We start from the raw sequence: 16,921 nt of genomic DNA on the forward strand, positions 1-16,921 counted from the left end.
GCCTGTTCCTTCCTCTGGAAGCTTCGTCCCAGAGGGGCACCTGCCAGATGCCAGCTGGAGCTCTACTATATAAGGTGTCTGTCGATCCCTGCTGGGGGGTGTCTCCCAGTTAGGAGGCACGGGGGTCAGGGACCCACTTGAGGAGGCAGTGAGTCCCTTAGCAGAGCTCAAGAGCTGTGCTGGGAGATCCACTGCTCTCTTCAGAGGCAGCAGGCAGGAACATTTAAGTTTGGTGAAGCTGCGCCCACAGCCGTCCCTTCCCCCAGGTGCTGTATCTCAGGGAGATGGGAGTTTTATCTATAAGCCCCTGAATCGTGCTGCTGCTTTTCTTTCAGAGATGCCCCGCCCAGAGAGAAGGAATCTAGAGAGGCAGTCTGGCTACAGCAGCTTTGCTGAGCTGCGGTGGGCTCTGCCCAGTCTGAACTTCCTGGTGGCTTTGATTTCACTGTGAAGGGAAAACCAACTACTCAAGCCTCAGTAATGGTGGACACCCCGCCCCCCACCAAGCTCGAGCGTCCCAGATCGACTTCAGACTGCTGTGTTGGCAGCGAGAATTTCAAGCCAGTGGATTTTGGCTTGCTGGCCTCCATGGGGGTGGGATCCGCTGAGCTAGACCACTTGGCTCCCTGGCTTCAGCTACCTTTTTAGGGGAGCGAACGGTTCTGTCTCACTGGTGTTCCAGGTGCCACTGGGGTATGAAGAAAAACTCCTGCAGCCAGCTGGGTGTCTGCCCAAACGGCTGCCCAGTTTTGTGCTTGAAACCCAGGGCCCTGGTGGTGTAGGCACCCCAGGGAATATCCTGGTCTGCCGGTTGCAAAGACCGTGGGAAAAGCGTAGTATCTGGGCCGAATGCACCGTCCCTCAGGGCACAGTCCCTCATGGCTTCCCTTGGCTGGCGGAGGGACTTCTCTGACCCCTTGCGCTTCCTGGATGAGGCAACACCCCACCCTGCTTTGGCTTGCCCTCCATGTGCTGCACGCACTGTCTAACCAGTCTCAGTGAGATGAGCCAGGTACCTCAGTTGGAAATGCAGAAATCACCCACCTTCTGCATTGATCTCGCTGGGAACTGCAGACTGAAGCGGTTCCTATTTGGCCACCTTGCCAGCCCATCTCGAGTAAGTTTTCTTATCTTTGCATGTATATCCGATAAGCTAGATTTAGTGGTCAATAGCGATTTTTGGAATGAATGAATAAATAATAAGGATTGCTCTTTTTTTTACTGCACTATAAATGTGTAGAAGTCATGTAATTTAAAATTTATTTGTGTTAAAATGTTGGGTAAAATATTTTTACTCTACTTTAAATATCTAAGTTATTAAATATAACTGGCTGCATTTATTTTATTAAAACTTACAAAATAATTTTTATAACTATACAAATTATAGGATCATCTACATATTGTGCCTATTAAAATTTTACTTAAATATGATTTTAGTTTTTTATAGACAGAAGTATAAAGAATGCTTCAAAATCTTAATCATTTAGAACTAAAATTATGTCTGGTGTCTTGAAATCCAGATTTACGTATGTGTTAAAGATACTGGTTATTTCCTCAAGTCAAATCATGGAATTGAGAGGTAGAGTTGAATACAGTTTTAATAAATATGCATTGGTTCCTATGTGGCTATTCTTGCTGTAGTAGTACACTAACACTCTACAAAAATCTGTTTTACAAAAAGAAACCTTTGGAAGTAACACTTATATAAATTAATGAAAAAAATGAATGAATATATGTAATGTAATAAACATTAAATGATTAATCAGTGGAGATCCTGGATTATAAGACAATAAAAATATTAAACAGTTTTCTCAGGGAAAACATTTTAGGACAACTATATATATATATATATATATATATATATATATATATATATATATATATTTATTTATTTCCCCCCTATTATTTCAGGGGCTATATCGTAAAGAAGAAATAAAACTTGAAAATAAATGTACATTGACTAAGAATTTAACTGTTGAAACTCAAACACCTATATCTTTCATATATATGTACATATGTGAAATATATAGCTCTGATAGATATATGCACACACACATACACACATACATATATAGTGGCTAAAGATATCTTTATTTCAGATATATATTTTTTCATATATCTTTCATAAATATTATTGACATACATATTTCATATATGTATGTACCTATATTCACATACACATAGCCCTGATTTTATCTTAGCACATACATTTATTATTATCTTACTTTGGAAATATTGGAAATAAAGTATTAGGTGTTTTTTAGCACATGTAGAGCTCAGCTAAAAGCAAAAGCAATGGAAACATTTTCAAGGACAAATTTACTAAGTATCGTAGCAATGCCACTTATTTCCATGTAACAAAAAGTATTATTTATACATTTACTATTTGGGTTAATTAAATTTTTTGCCCTGATGAAGACCTGAAGCAATTTCAGGATAGAATTTTTAGAATGAAGAGGAACCACGAAAAGTTGATATGCATAAACAGAGAAGCTTGCTAATTCTAGACACTTTCATATTTAGATATTGGTTGTATCTGTGTCTATGTACAAGATACCCAATCTTTCTTTTTTTTATTCTTTTTTTGAGACAGAGTCTCCCTCTGTTGCCCAGTCTGGAGTGCAGTGGCTCAATCTCTGCTCACTGCAACCTCTGCCCCCCAGGTTCAAGTGAATCTCCTGCCTCAGCCTCCTGGGTAGCTGGGATTACAAGCATGTGCCACCATGCCTGGCTATTTTTTGTATTTTTAGCAGAGACAGGGTTTCAGCATGTTGGTCAGGCTGGTCTCCAACTCCTGACCTCGTGATCCTCCCACCTCAGCCTCCCAAAGTGATGGGATTAGAGGCGTGAGCCACCATGCCTGGCCGATACCCAACCTTTCAAAGCCTGGATTTCCATACACAAAATATACCTAAAGATGCCTACTGTATTTGGTGGGGAAGTCAATGTGAAAATTAGTGTAAATGCTACACAGTAGATAGAGGTTGATGGCCTCTTGGTCTTTTCATAATCATTATCACAGGAAACACAATGCTTACATTGCTTTACCTAATTCTACTTGTTCCATACAAGAAAATTAGAGCTGGTCACTGGATTAAATTGTATTTGTTACCTTCCTATTCTAAGTATCCTTAAAATAATAGGAAGGTAACAAACATAATTTAATAGATATATAGATAACATCTATAAGACATATCTTTAATAGACATGTAGATAACAACTCAAAGAGATCTGGCAGCTTCTCTTCTAAGTAATTAACCTGCACACATATGGTTTACCTAGACAATATAACATTTTTTGAGTATGGGGAGATTTGAAGCACAAGACTTGATGGGTATGAGCTTATAAGTATTATTATTCTATTGAATATTGTTTTTTGGTTTGAAGTAAAATGTTAATTGAATTGGTAATGGTTTTGGTAATAAAAAGATGCTTCTGCAAGAACATAATGAAATTTGATTGATTCACTAAGCTTGGTCTTAAGTACTCGCATCAATGCTTTTAGCTTTTAAAATAAATTGTATCAATTATTGCTTAAATTTAACATTGATGAAAAACATTTCTAGCCCCTGGTTACCATTAATGTCTATATAGTTAACAAAGACATGGGGAGTTAGCTGCACCATTATGTGAAGGCTCTTTAAATTAGGTTTACTGTAATAAACACACACAAGTTATTTCTACAGCTCTGAAAATCGGAAAAGGAAATAGAAGATGTTTAGGGTCACTGTCAGTTCTGTCTAAGCCTAGATTCCTTTTCTGTAAAATGAGGATGATAATAATGATATGCCCCTTTGTGTTTTTTAGAATAACAGAATAAATGATCAATAAATTTTAGCAATGATTATTATTATGCACACACAGGCACTGTGCTATCCTCTATAAAACTGTAGGATGGATGAGATGTAATAATTATCCTTGTATAAGTTTCCTATTGCTGCTGAAACAGATTACCACAAATGTAGGCTAGGCTTAGAACACTAATTTATTATCTTACAGGTTTGTATCTCAAAAGTCTGTTGCTGGTCTCACGAGGCTAACGTCAAGGTCTATATGCTGGAGCTCCTTTCAGGAGCCTCGCCAAGAGAATCTGTTTCCTTGCTCATTGAGGTTGTTGGCAGAATTAATTTATCTGCAGTGGCAGGATTTAGATTCCTGTGTTCTTGCTGGCTGTAAACTCTGGGTCATTATTAACTTCCTGAGGCTGCCACATTGCTGGCTTTCTGACTTCTTCCTCTATCTTCAAAATCAGCAATGATGGATGGAGTCTCTCCCATGTCAAATCTCCCTGACCCACCAGTCAAAGTTCTTAGCTGTTAAGAATTCATGTGATTACAGTGGACCCACCTGTGATAATCCAGGATCCTCTCCCCATCGGAAAGGTGGTACCATCTGCAAAGGGCCATCTGCAAAGTCCCTTTTACTGTGTGACATAACACATTCACGGATCCCAGGAACTGGGGCATAACCTCTTTGGGAGAAGCATTATCCCGCCTACCACAAACCCCAAGCTTTTATATATCTGGGAAAGTAAATAAAACAAGTATATAAATAACAGCCACATAAGGCCGAATGTGCATCTTGCTTTAAGAAACTATAAATTCATTGTTCAATATCTAATTAGAAGGGAGTAATATAACTCTTCCTTTTATCATATATCATTATAAAGCTTTTATACTAGGATCTTCCCCTGTATAAGGGATTGTTTTCTCTTATCTTGGTCTCCTCGTTCCTCATCGATTGTTGTTCCTGCAGCAATTACCGAGCAGCGAAAATGCAGTGGAATGGCCACTTTACAGGAGGGAAGCCGTTTCCAATACTCACGAAGTACAACTCCTAACCTGGTGGGCTTGGGCATCCTGGGTATTTGTTCAGATAATCAACTTTAAGGCTTTTAAAAACATGTTATTTTGTGAAATATTTGTATAGAAATGCTCCTGTTCCTTCTTTATTTACCCTTAAGAGATTATGATCAGAGGTTAGTTATGTGACATTGGTTCTCTCCTCTGTGGCTGAATTCTTGAGAACATTGCCAATATTAGCAGACCGTATTGTATTTCTCATATCTTATTTTTTTCCTTTTCATATCTGTCATTATCATCTGATGCCCTTCATCATAACCTAATTCTATTCTTCAACTCAATCACTGCAGAATGGTGTTTTTTTCCTTGACCTTTATCTAGCTGTACAGAGTTTTTCATTCTTTAAGTATAAAAATATTTCCTCCCACTACTTGAGTATTCTACTTCTAGACCTTCCCAATTTAAGCACCTATATGTATCTTCATCTCTTCCTTTCTGATGGAGTTTCACAGAAAAAAAAATAGTAAAAAATTCTGACCTAGATCAGACTGGTTAATAGCTAGCTGGTTTCATATGAGCAAAACGACAGCTTGTAAAGTGCTAAGCTTGTGTCCTAAAAAAGACATGAAGCGCTTCCTTTAGCATAACATAAGATAAAGCCAAGGTAAAATAGAACATTGTAGAATAGGATTTAATGAATTAATAAAAAAGAAAGAGTAAGTCATACAGACAGAGGACATAAGGAATGGTGTGTGAGTACATGGGCTTGGGAATCAGACGACCTGAGCTTGGACACCAGCTCTACCACCTGCTACTTGTTGAGCCTGGACAGGTAACTTACTGCAAAGCACAGATTTCCTTATAGGATAAAAGGCTATAAAAATATCCATCTTGGATAGTAGTCATGAAGAGATGATATACATAAAAACTTGGCATATGCTAATTGCTCAATAACTGAGAGTTTAATATTTCCTCAGACATCATCTAAAAGGACTGGACCTACATCTGCAGTTAACTGCACAATGGAAGAAACGGCCTCTCCTGGGCAGCCTCATGGATGGGGTGAAGAGACAAAGCTTGGGAGTGTAGCATGTTGAGCACATCTGCTCAGAGGTAACATTTAAGCAGTAAGTCTTGTGTTTTAAATCATGTTATCAGCCTACATGCATTATCTCTTTTAGTCATCATCATAACTCTGTAATATAAATACTGTAAAATATTTTATAGAGGAGAAAAAACTCCTATGTAGTAAGAAGAGAGATAACTTGTCCTAGTACACACTGCTAGTTGGAAATAAACCAAACAAATGAACCCAAGTTTTGCCCCCAGAACCTATATGTTCATATTTCAAACTAAACAACCATCTTTCCTGGAAAGCAATCTCTTCTCCAGACATCTCTATTTCTCTCAATAGAATGAACTTCTTAGTGATTTATTTTTTAAAGTTAAATGTCATAAAATAGGCATATGTTGTAGATATAACCAAATTGAAGTAGCATGTTTATGTATTAGAGCACAACTTCAAAATGGAGAGATTTAAACAGCTGTTTCATCAGCTCTTGTCAGGGCTCAGCTGCGTGCCTCTTCTGCTGCTCACATGTGTAGTTTCTCATGCAGTTACCATCAGATTGGGCTGAAGCTGCCGTGGCTCCAGGTCTAACTCCCTCATGTTCCTCCCCAGGGGCTTCACTCTATGTTGCTGTTTTAAATAATCTTACTTTTTAAGAACAGTTTTCGACATACAGAAAACTTGGGCAATACTACAGAGGGTTCACACATACCCCACACCCAGTTTTCTCTGTTACTAACATCTTATATCAGTGATGTACAAGTGTTACAATTAATATGCCCATATTGATGCATTGTTATTAACTAAAGTCCAGATTTTTTTCAGTTTTTTTTTATTTTTTTTATTTTTTATTTTTTTTAGTTTTTACAAAATGTCCTTTTCTGTTCCAAGATCTCATCTGGATACCATGTCATATTTAGTTGTCATGTCTCCTTGGGCTCCTCTTGGCTGTGACAACTGTGGCCTTGCTCTTTATGTGTTGTCTTATCCTCCAGGACCACACACACACATGCGGGCACGCACACACACACACACACACACACACACACACACACACACACGGTAGTTTGGACTTCTTACTTACTGGCCAAAGGCTCTGAGATGAGGGAAGGAGAAGCTGTCACATTCTAAGGCCTGGGCTCCAAAATCCCAGAACAGCAATTCCTCTGCTTCATCTTGGTCCAACCAGTCACAGGCCCAGCCTAGATTCAAAGGGGAAGACATAAGTCCCATCTCTTGATGGGCAGAGAGGCCTGTGTGTGCAGGAAGCATGAGCAGAATAGTGAGATTGTCAAGGGTCATTTTAGGGTCAAGCCACACACAGATGCCCGGAAAATACCACCATTTGCTTAGTTGATTTTAAGCAGAGAATGACGAAATCATTTTAAAAAATTGAGAACAAAATGGCATATTGATATTGAATCCAAATTCCTGTTTAAGCTATGTACCTCCAAATCAGTGGTTGCCATAGGGTATCACATTGTAACACAAATACCTATTTCTCATGCAATTGAATCACTCATAAAAATGTTGAATGTGCCATGTAATAAATGTAGTAATTTGTTTTCTTTAGTAAATATAACAAATGTGTATATTTAAAATAAAATTAGCCTTCCATTGCCATAGAATTCGGAACTGTGGCTTTTTTTTTTTAAGTTTAGGTTGTCTCCAAGCATAAAAATGGAAATACTGATCCTGTGACAACACAGCCTGAATTTTCTGCTTTGCAGATGCCAGATTTATTTTTAAATGGTGTGAATCAAATCTGTGCTGAGAGGCCAACTTCAAAATATAAAAGAAAAATTGGCAATGGGAGGATTGTGCTGGTTTGGCTGAAATGAAGTGCTCTACGGCATTTCATTCTAGTGGAGCGTCTGACTGTGAAAATCCTTCCAATTGTAATTTTCTTTGGCTTGTCAAAAGAGGATTATGAACTAAAGTCAGTGTTGCAGGAAATGTCACCTGTCCTTTGAAAGAAAATAATAAATCAAAATGGCTTTTGTTCATCATGTTTAAAATGAAAAAAAAAAAAAAGTTGATCCACTTGGAGTCTTCTCTCATTTCTTGACAAGGCAGTTAAATAAATAAAACGGAATTTTTTGTAATTGTTACTTCTTGCTCATCTCAAAAGGGGAAAAGGGAAATCTTCATTCAATACATATTCATACAGAGAAAATAGAAGAGCAGAGACAGAGACAGAAAGAGAAATGAGATGAAGAGTGAAACAAGACCCTGGTAGAGTTCCTCAAGTCAGATGTTAAGAAAGGTATCTTTAAATTATAATTTGTTTCTTTGATAGATACTATATTACAAATTCAAAAATGTGAGGTAAATAAAAACAAAAGGAGTAGATAACTATTCCTGAAAAATTCTAAGTGCTTGTATATTTTGCTTTAAGCAAATAAAGACAAAATTACCAAACATATAACAGAGCTTGAAATTATCTGAATTCTTTTGCCTTGACAATTTTTTTCAGTTATTTTAGCAATAAACATTGCCTGTGATGAGTACATACCACTTCAGAGAAAGAAAGTGATATTTCTGGCTTATCGTATGGACATCATGGCCATGCTGACACCATTTCTTTAAAAAAGTAATTGTTAATGCTACTTTGTATGTATTAATCTGAAAATATAGAAGAGCATTTTAATAGTTGATGCCACCACCATAAACTCCGTTTCTTGTTGCTGTTGTTATAATCATGTACTAATGATAACATCTGGAATGTTAATGTGGTGACAAATTTAGAAACAGCCATAGATTGCAAAGCTGGAAGATAATGGCTTACGACATTTGCTCTCTAATGTTGCAATGATATGATTTCAGATGTGTAATAAGCCAGTATGTCAAAGAAGCCAATAAGCCCATCATAAAAGCTATATAGAATTTTGATAGAGCATTATATCATCGCTGTGCATTTTCTAGTATGGTTTGGTTTGGTATAGTACAGGCAAATTTTAAAGTGTGGTTTTAAAATTAAGAAATATTGCAGCCAGGCGTTGTGGCTCACGCCTGTAATCCCAGCACTTTGGGAGGCCGAGGCGGACAGATTACGAGGTCAGGAGATCAGGACCATCCTGGCTAACACAGTGAAACCCCGTCTCTACTAAAAATACAAAAAATTAACTGGGCGTGGTGGTGGGCGCCTGTAGTCCCAGCTACTCAGGAGGCTGAGGCAGGAGAATAGCGTGAACCCGGGAGGCGGAGCTTGCAGTGACCAGAGATCTCGCCACTGCCCTCTAGTGTGGGCAACAGAGTGAGACCCTGTCTCAAAAAAAAAAAAAAAAAGGAAAAAAAGAAATATTGCATATTATTTGATTTTACTTATTGATTTTAACTGTATAAAACTATAAGTCAAATATAACTGGAAATTTTCATGTGAGCAATGTAGAAAAAGAAAACGAACATTCTCTTTATCAAGCCAGGTTTAATATGATGACTCTCAAACAAATACCAACACTAGGGTATATGACACAGCCTCAGAGTCTTTTTCTGTCCTTTTTCTGGCACTGAAGATTAGAGTACCTTCTTTACGATTGTACTGTGAGCATATTGAGGTAAACCACAAAACAGGTATCAGGTTAGGAGAAAATTAGCATTCTATTTAAATTCTGATTTTGAATCAAAGAAAATTAATAGATGGAAAGATAAATAGATGAATATATAGATAGAACCCTTAGCAAACATTTGCATGGTTTCACAGTGCTAGTATGTCTTTATTTCTTCCTTATTTCAGATTTCCTGGTATAAAGAGCAATTGTTTTTTTAAAACAATTTAATGGCCATGTTAATTTTAATTTTTACTTTTTAAATTTTTTATTATTGAGTTTTAGGGACTATTTAAATTGTGTATTAGCTATTAACTATGGGTCAGCTTCTCACTTGTCATCCTATCTGAATTTTCACTGACATCAAAAGGACTCTTTCCTTTGTAGAAGCATTAGTAGATCATCTTCTCCAAACCGGATACATGTTTCAGAGTTTTTCAACACTTGTGCATATAATCTACTCACAGCACCCAGTAAAAGTCCAATAAGTCAGTGTTGACTGACTGCTTCCTATCTAGTTCAAAAGTGGGGAGAAAATTAAACATGTTTTCGGTACATTTCCCAGCTTCAATATTTTAACTTCTCAAAGGAGCTAAATGTGCTTGGAAATGGTGTACGACATTTTAATTATGCTACCAGAAGAATCCGAGAAGAGTGAACATATTGAGAAACAGGGCAGAATGGAAGAAGAAAGTGGCACTGCTTTAAAGCCAAATTATCTGATGTTTACATCTTTCAACACTTTGGCCCAAGTTCAAGACATTAAGCCTAGTTTTTCAAATGCAATTATGTATGGAAAGCAACAAGTATAGTCATGCCTGATGATAGCAGGGGTCAGGCTGAGGGACACACCATTCTTTGGTCAAAACATGAAAGTTAATTTCAAAATCCACCAGGCCAAAAAGAAATATTAAACAAAGTTTTTGAAATAGAACATTTTGATGTCAGTATGTTTCTTTTATCTTAAAAAACCCAATCATTTTGAAATTCTCTGAGTATTATTCAGGTAAAGAAAAAACATGCTTTCTCACAATTAGGAAACACCAGGCCTTGATGGATATTTAGACACAGCTTGCATGACATTTTTAGCTATCACACTAGCAGGTGACATGACAGAATATGGAAGAACCGTAGCTCCTTGTGACGTGATTTCTGTGGTCCTCCCTGTTTGAAGCAATCTAAACTTAAAAAGTATATGACTTTGCCAAAATGAGGTGAAAACCTTTTTAAAGTGAAAGATTGCATTAAATCAGTAATTTGACATCACACTTGAGAAGAATGAACATGAATAATTTTTTATTCTGATGAAATTCACTTGTTTAGGCAGATGTAATGAACACTTGTTTGTTAACAAGTTATTAATCTTTATGAAGAGCTACTAACATTTCTGCTATGATTGAACAAAATATTATAGACATTTGGGGGTCACTTTCTTCCAGTTCTCTCCATTCTCTTGCCCTTTTTCTTCCCGGTTTCCTCCAATTCACTTCCCACCCATCCTCAAGAGCCTATAAATTGGCATCATAACTCTAGACTAAAATAGCGTTCTGAGAACTGAAAGCTCATCCTTCACCCATTTTCTCATACTGTTTGCCAAATACGGTTTTTGGCATCTGAAATTAACATTCCAACATTAACAGAAATTGCTGAATATTTAATAACATGTTTAGAACTGTGCTTGCAATCCCTTGAAGCCATGAATGAGTACCAGCCCCAGATGAAATTGTCCAGCCTCATGTGAATCGACGGCTTCCATCAGAGCTGTGCCGCCCATTCTCATGGCTAATCTTCCCATGAATACTTAGACTGCCCTGCTAGTTAAAGTATGGCGCATTGGCATCACCTGGGAGTGTGTTAGAAATGCAGAACTACTGAATCAGAATCTGTATTTTCATAAGACCACAGGTGACACACGTGCAAATGAGAGAGTGAGAAGCATTGGCCTGGATCTATCCACCCTCCTGAAAAATAGACCAATGCTGTCCCCAACCCACTGCTCTCTTTCTGATGCTTGTCCGAATGGCCTCCTTCACATCTTCTGTCCTTTTCCCCTGCTCAGTCCCTTCTCTTTTCTAGGCAGCACAAAGAGGCCAGTTGCACACCCCATGGGCGTGGAGAGACACCTGCCTCTATCCCATGCCCCTTTGTGAGTACCACACTCACAAGACTAATAATGTTTAAGGATTACTTCAATAATCTAAAAAGAAAAATTGATTTTCTTTCCCCATTTTGAAACTCATCATTTTCTACATAGCTAAAATAGTTGAAATTCACTATTAAACATTTGTAATATGCAGATTTTTTTACAAATATTACCACATTGTCTTCATGCCATTGTGTCCGGAATTGGTGGGTTCTTGGTCTCACTGACTTCAAGAATGAAGCCTCGGACCCTCGCGGTGAGTGTTACAGCTCTTAAGGTGGCGCGTCTGGAGTCTGTCCCTTCTGATGTTCAGATGTGTTCGGAGTTTCTTCCTTCTGGTGGGTTCGTGGTCTCGCTGGCTCAGGAGTGAAGCTGCTGACCTTCGCGGTGAGTGTTACAGCTCATAAAAGCAGCGTGGACCCAAAGAGTGAGCAGTAGCAATATTTATTGCAAAGAGGGAAAGAACAAAGCTTCCACAGTGTGGAAGGGGACCCGAGCGGGTTACCAATGCTGGCTCGTGCAGCCTGCTTTTATTCTCTTATCTGGCCCCACCCACATCCTGCTGATTGGTAGAGCTGAGTGGCCTGTTTTGTCAGGGCCTGATTGGTGCGTTTACAATTCCTGAGCTAGATACAAAGGTTCTCCAGGTCCCCATCAGATTAGCTAGATACAGAGTTTCGACACACAGGTTTCTCCAAGGCCCCACCAGAGCAGCTAGATACAGAGTGTCGATTGGTGCATTCACAAACCTTGAGCTAAACACAGGGTGCTGATTGGTGTGTTTACAAACCTTGAGCTAGATACAGAGTGCCGATTGGTGTATTTACAATCCTTGAGCTAGACATAAAGGTTCTCCACGTCCTCACCAGAGCAGCTAGATACAGAGTGTCGATTGGTGCATTCACAAACCTTGTGCTAAACACAGGGTGCTGATTGGTGTATTTACAAACCTTGAGCTAGATACAGAGTGCCGATTGGTGTATTTACAATCCTTGAGCTAGACATTAAAAGGTTCTCCACGTCCTCACCAGAGCAGCTAGATACAGAGTGTCAATTGGTGCACTCACAAACCTTGAGCTAAACACAGGGTGCTGATTGGTGTGTTTATAAACCTTGAGCTAGATACAGAGTGCCGATTGGTGTATTTACAATCCCTGAGCTAGATATAAAGATTCTTCATTTCCCCACCAGACTCAAGAGCCCAGCTGGCTTCACCTAGTGGATCCCACACTGGGGCTGCAGGTGGAGCTGCCTGCCAGTCCTGCACCCTGTGCTCGCATTCCTCAGCCCTTGGGTGGTCAATGGGACTGGGCGCCATGGAGCAGGGGGTGGTGCTCGTCGGGGAGGCTCGGGCTGCACAGGAGCCCATGGAGTGGGTGGGAGGCTCAGGCATGGCAGGCTGCAGGTCCCGAGCCCTGCCCCGTGGGAAGGCAGCTAAGGCCCGGCAAGAAATCGAGCTGAGGCCGGGCGCGGTGGCTCACGCCTGTAATCCCAGCACTTTGGGAGGCCGAGGCGGGTGGATCATGAGGTCAGGAGATCGAGACCATCCTGGCTAACAAGGTGAAACCCCGTCTCTACTAAAAATACAAAAAATTAGCCGGGGGCGGTGGCGGGCGCCTGTAGTCCCAGCTACTCGGGAGGCTGAGGCAGGAGAATGGCGTGAACCCGGGAAGCGGAGCTTGCAGTGAGCCGAGATTCCGCCACTGCAGTCCGCAGTCCGGCCTGGGCGACAGAACGAGACTCCGTCTCAAAAAAAAAAAAAAAAAAAAAGAAATCGAGCTGAGCGCCGGTGGGCCGGCACTGCTGGGGGACTCAGTACACCCTCCGCAGCCACTGGCCCGGGTGCTAAGTCCCCCATTGCCCGGGGCCAGTAGGGCTGGCTGGCTGGCTGCTCCGAGTGCGGGGCCCGCCAAGCCCACGCCCACCCAGAACTCCAGCTGGCCCGCAAGCGCTGTGTGCAGCCCCAATTCCTGCTTGCGCCTCTCCCTCCACACCTCCCTGCAAGCTGAGGGAGCCGGCTCTGGCCTTGGCCAGCCCAGAAAGGGGCTCCCACAGTGCAGCGGCGGGCCGAAAGGCTCCTCAAGTGCCGCCAAAGGGGGAACCCAGGCAGAGGAGGCGCCGAGAGCAAGCGAGGGCTCTGAGGACTGCCAGCACGCTGTCACCTCTCACCATTGTCTTTATACCATTCCTATGAGAGAGATCAGCAGCTTTATCCTGACTTACAGGTTTGGAGTGGACTATAAATAAATTGGGAAGGTATCGTAAATTAGCTTTTTGAAACTGGAATTAGTGTCCTGTCTTAAAGTCTGCAGGAATTACAAGACTCGAGGAAGAGAATCATTGGTGGTTTGGGAAGCTCTGACAAACAATTAAGTAGAGAATGATTTAGTACACAGCTCAGTTCCTGAACATTCTCATTGCTGCCTCTGGTTACAAAAAAATCTTGCCAAGACAAAAATGTTACTTCTGTATAAATCCCTCTCATTCGAACTTAAACATAATAACTAATAATATCCAGAATGATGACTTGAATTTTATAATCAGTGTTAAGTGGATTTTAAATACAGAAAATTTCATGAACTTTCATGGCTTTAACTAAACATGTTTGAATATGGTAAGGATTTTTCTATGTGTATATTACTATGCAGTGTGGCTCTGACTCTGATTGCATTCAATATTCCATCTGATTAAACCATGTTTACTCATTTCTCCCCTCACTAGATGCCCTTCTTGAAACCTTCCCTCAATACTCCTATGAGGAGGCTTTAAATGCTCTGAATCTATTACAAAGATAAATACCAGGGAAGTCAATTTTAACAAACCTTGAAATAACCTAAATGTCTATTAGTAAGAAAGTAATTAAATTAAAAATGTTGTATACTCATGTGATGTAATATTTTGCAGCTGGAAAAAAGTAAAATAGAATACAGTTGTTTATTTGGAAAAATGTCCATATATGTTGCTAATTTCTAAGACAAAAAGGAAAGTTTCAGAATGAAGTGTATAATGGTTGCACTTATGTTAAAACTCTATACACCCATAGCTTCAGAAACATGAAGGTAAATAGATTAATATCTATAGCTGTAGATAGGTTAAAATAAAGAAAGGTGGATGGATAGATGGGTAGAAAGACAGAAAGGAAGTAGACATGAAGATATTCATGAGAATTTTTGAAAAAGAATCAAACGATTCTGATAACAAATGTTAATTTCTGGGGAGTTCAAATGAAATGTGAGAAAAGAGACTTTCACTTTCTTCTAAATACTTTTACAGAGTGTTTGAATTTTTTGTAAATGCGTATTACACTTAAAATTTTTAATTATTAATTTTTGTAGGTATGTGACTGAGTATCCCATTTTTCTAAGAGATAGCTTATTATTTTTCTCTCTCTTCTTTTTCCTCTCCTCCTTTTCCTCACTTCTTACTTAGCTCTTTAGAAATGCAATTATAGCCTCTTATCTCCCATTTACCAGGCACTCCTTACAGGGCAAGTTCATCTCCAGAGCAGAACCCTCACCCATCAGGAGGTTGCCTTGGGAGATAACAGTTGATTGACAACCCAGCATATGCCTGCTAGAGTTTTTGGCTGCATTTACAGCCTGTTTCTGCCCATGAAGAAGCCAACTCGAATGCCCGGTAGATAAGGCACCAAAGTAAGTACGCAGCCCTCTTACCTGCTCCCTTCCATCTCCCATAGGTCCCCCCTTTAAAAGGGCCCACTCTGTGCTCCAAAAGGGAAGCAGTACCCTTATGGTAGGAACCTGTGCTTCTTCCCCAAAGGTAGCTTTGGAAAAAAAAAAAAAAAGTCATTTTCTTTATACCAGACCTCACTCTTTTTAACTGGACTCTGCAAGTGGCAAGGGACTAAACCTGCATTTTGGTTCCAACTACAGAGTAGGTATATACACTTATGGGGTAGGTGAGATATTCTGATACAGGCATACAGTGTGTAATCATCACAAAACAGGGTATCCATCACCTCAACTATTTAACTTTCGTGTTACAGACAATCCAATTATACTCTTTTAGTTATTTTTAAATGTACAATTAAATTATTATTGACTATAGTCACCCTGTTGTGATATCAAACACTAGATCTAATTTATTCTATCTTTGTACCCAGTAATACACTTAAATTTTTACCATTACATCTTTTCAGAGTACCTAGCATTTGCTTTGTATCCCAAATATTCTGCCTGTCTCATTGCTAGACATTTGCATTGACTCAGTCGCTTATTCCCCAACTAGACATCTTAGCTATTTCTACTCACTGCCTGTTGTCTGAAATAGCTTCCTACCTCGATTTTGCCTTTCTTTGCATTTTCAAACTCTAAAGTTTACTTCTCCTAGGAAATAAACTGGTTATATAAATGTGGGTAATCATTCATTCCCATCTACTGAGCATAACTTCAGACATTTTCCCTCTTAGTCCAAAGAGCAATTAACTTTATTTTTAAATTAAATATAGGTTGGTGCAAAAATAATTGCATTTTTTGCCATTGAAAGTAAATGGCAAAAACCGCAATCACTTTTGCACCAATCTAATATTTAAATTACATGCTTCCAACATGAGGCACACAACCTTCAATAAAGATATTTTCTCTAACAACCATGAATACATGTTAAAGATTCAACAATGGGAAGAAATGTCTTGGAAGAATCATGTTATAGGAAAGAATAGAACTAATTAGGAATGTAAATATAATTTAGAATACGGTCTCTCAAGAGAATTGATCCTGGACTTAGCCAATTATTAGCATAGTGTCCCGGCTGCTTCAGGACTATTATTCAACTTCCAAACTCTTACCCTTTGAATTAAATTGGTATTTTACTAGTTTGCAGAGGACTGGCAGATTCCTTGAAACTTGCGCCCCATCCCACTAGAAATTTCGTCTTCAGGAACCACTTCATTGCAGGCATGCCGCAGCCGCCCCCGATCCCTTCCCACCGCCCCACTAGGCTTATGACTTTAATAGAGTTGTCTGCTTCTGGGTTATCTGCCTCACACTGTGATGGCCTCACTTCCATTCCATTTGCTTAGCTTCTAGCACTGTCGCGCATAGAGGTGGGCACTTAATAAATGCTGCCAACCATGTCAAGGTAATGAGAGCAGTTAAATGAGCAGCTGAACTCCATTTATTCAGAAGTGCTTGTTGCATGTTTACTGTGTACATTGTGTTATATGTTAATGGGAGGCTGTAAAATGATTCCATTTATTCATCATTGCAATGAGGCCATTGAACTGGATGATCTCTACAGTAATTGCACATCTAGTACTCTGTGATTCTAAACGTAAATTTCCACATGAGAGAACAAAGTTTCTTTCCTTGATTTAAACTTATGTATGCAGAAATACAAT

The 16,921-nt window shown here is 39.5% G+C and overlaps 2 long non-coding RNA genes across 3 annotated transcripts in view; one reads left to right on the top strand and one right to left on the bottom strand.

The window, feature by feature from the left end:
- The window catches only part of LOC339975 (uncharacterized), a 201,531-nt gene that overhangs the window by 103,700 nt on the left and 80,910 nt on the right, over positions 1-16,921 (bottom strand). The gene's annotated exons all lie outside the window — the stretch shown is intronic.
- On the top strand, positions 1,068-8,296 carry LINC02515 (long intergenic non-protein coding RNA 2515). 2 transcript variants are annotated; one of them, NR_183821.1, is made up of 3 exons: positions 1,068-1,117; positions 5,780-5,929; positions 7,528-8,296. It is a non-coding gene; the product is annotated as a long intergenic non-protein coding RNA 2515 (long non-coding RNA). The 2 variants fall into 2 exon arrangements; NR_183820.1 differs by having other exon boundaries at positions 5,780-8,296.

The sequence above is a fragment of the Homo sapiens genome, chromosome 4 (genome assembly GCF_000001405.40).
Source record: "Homo sapiens chromosome 4, GRCh38.p14 Primary Assembly".
Lineage (NCBI taxonomy): Eukaryota > Metazoa > Chordata > Mammalia > Primates > Hominidae > Homo > Homo sapiens.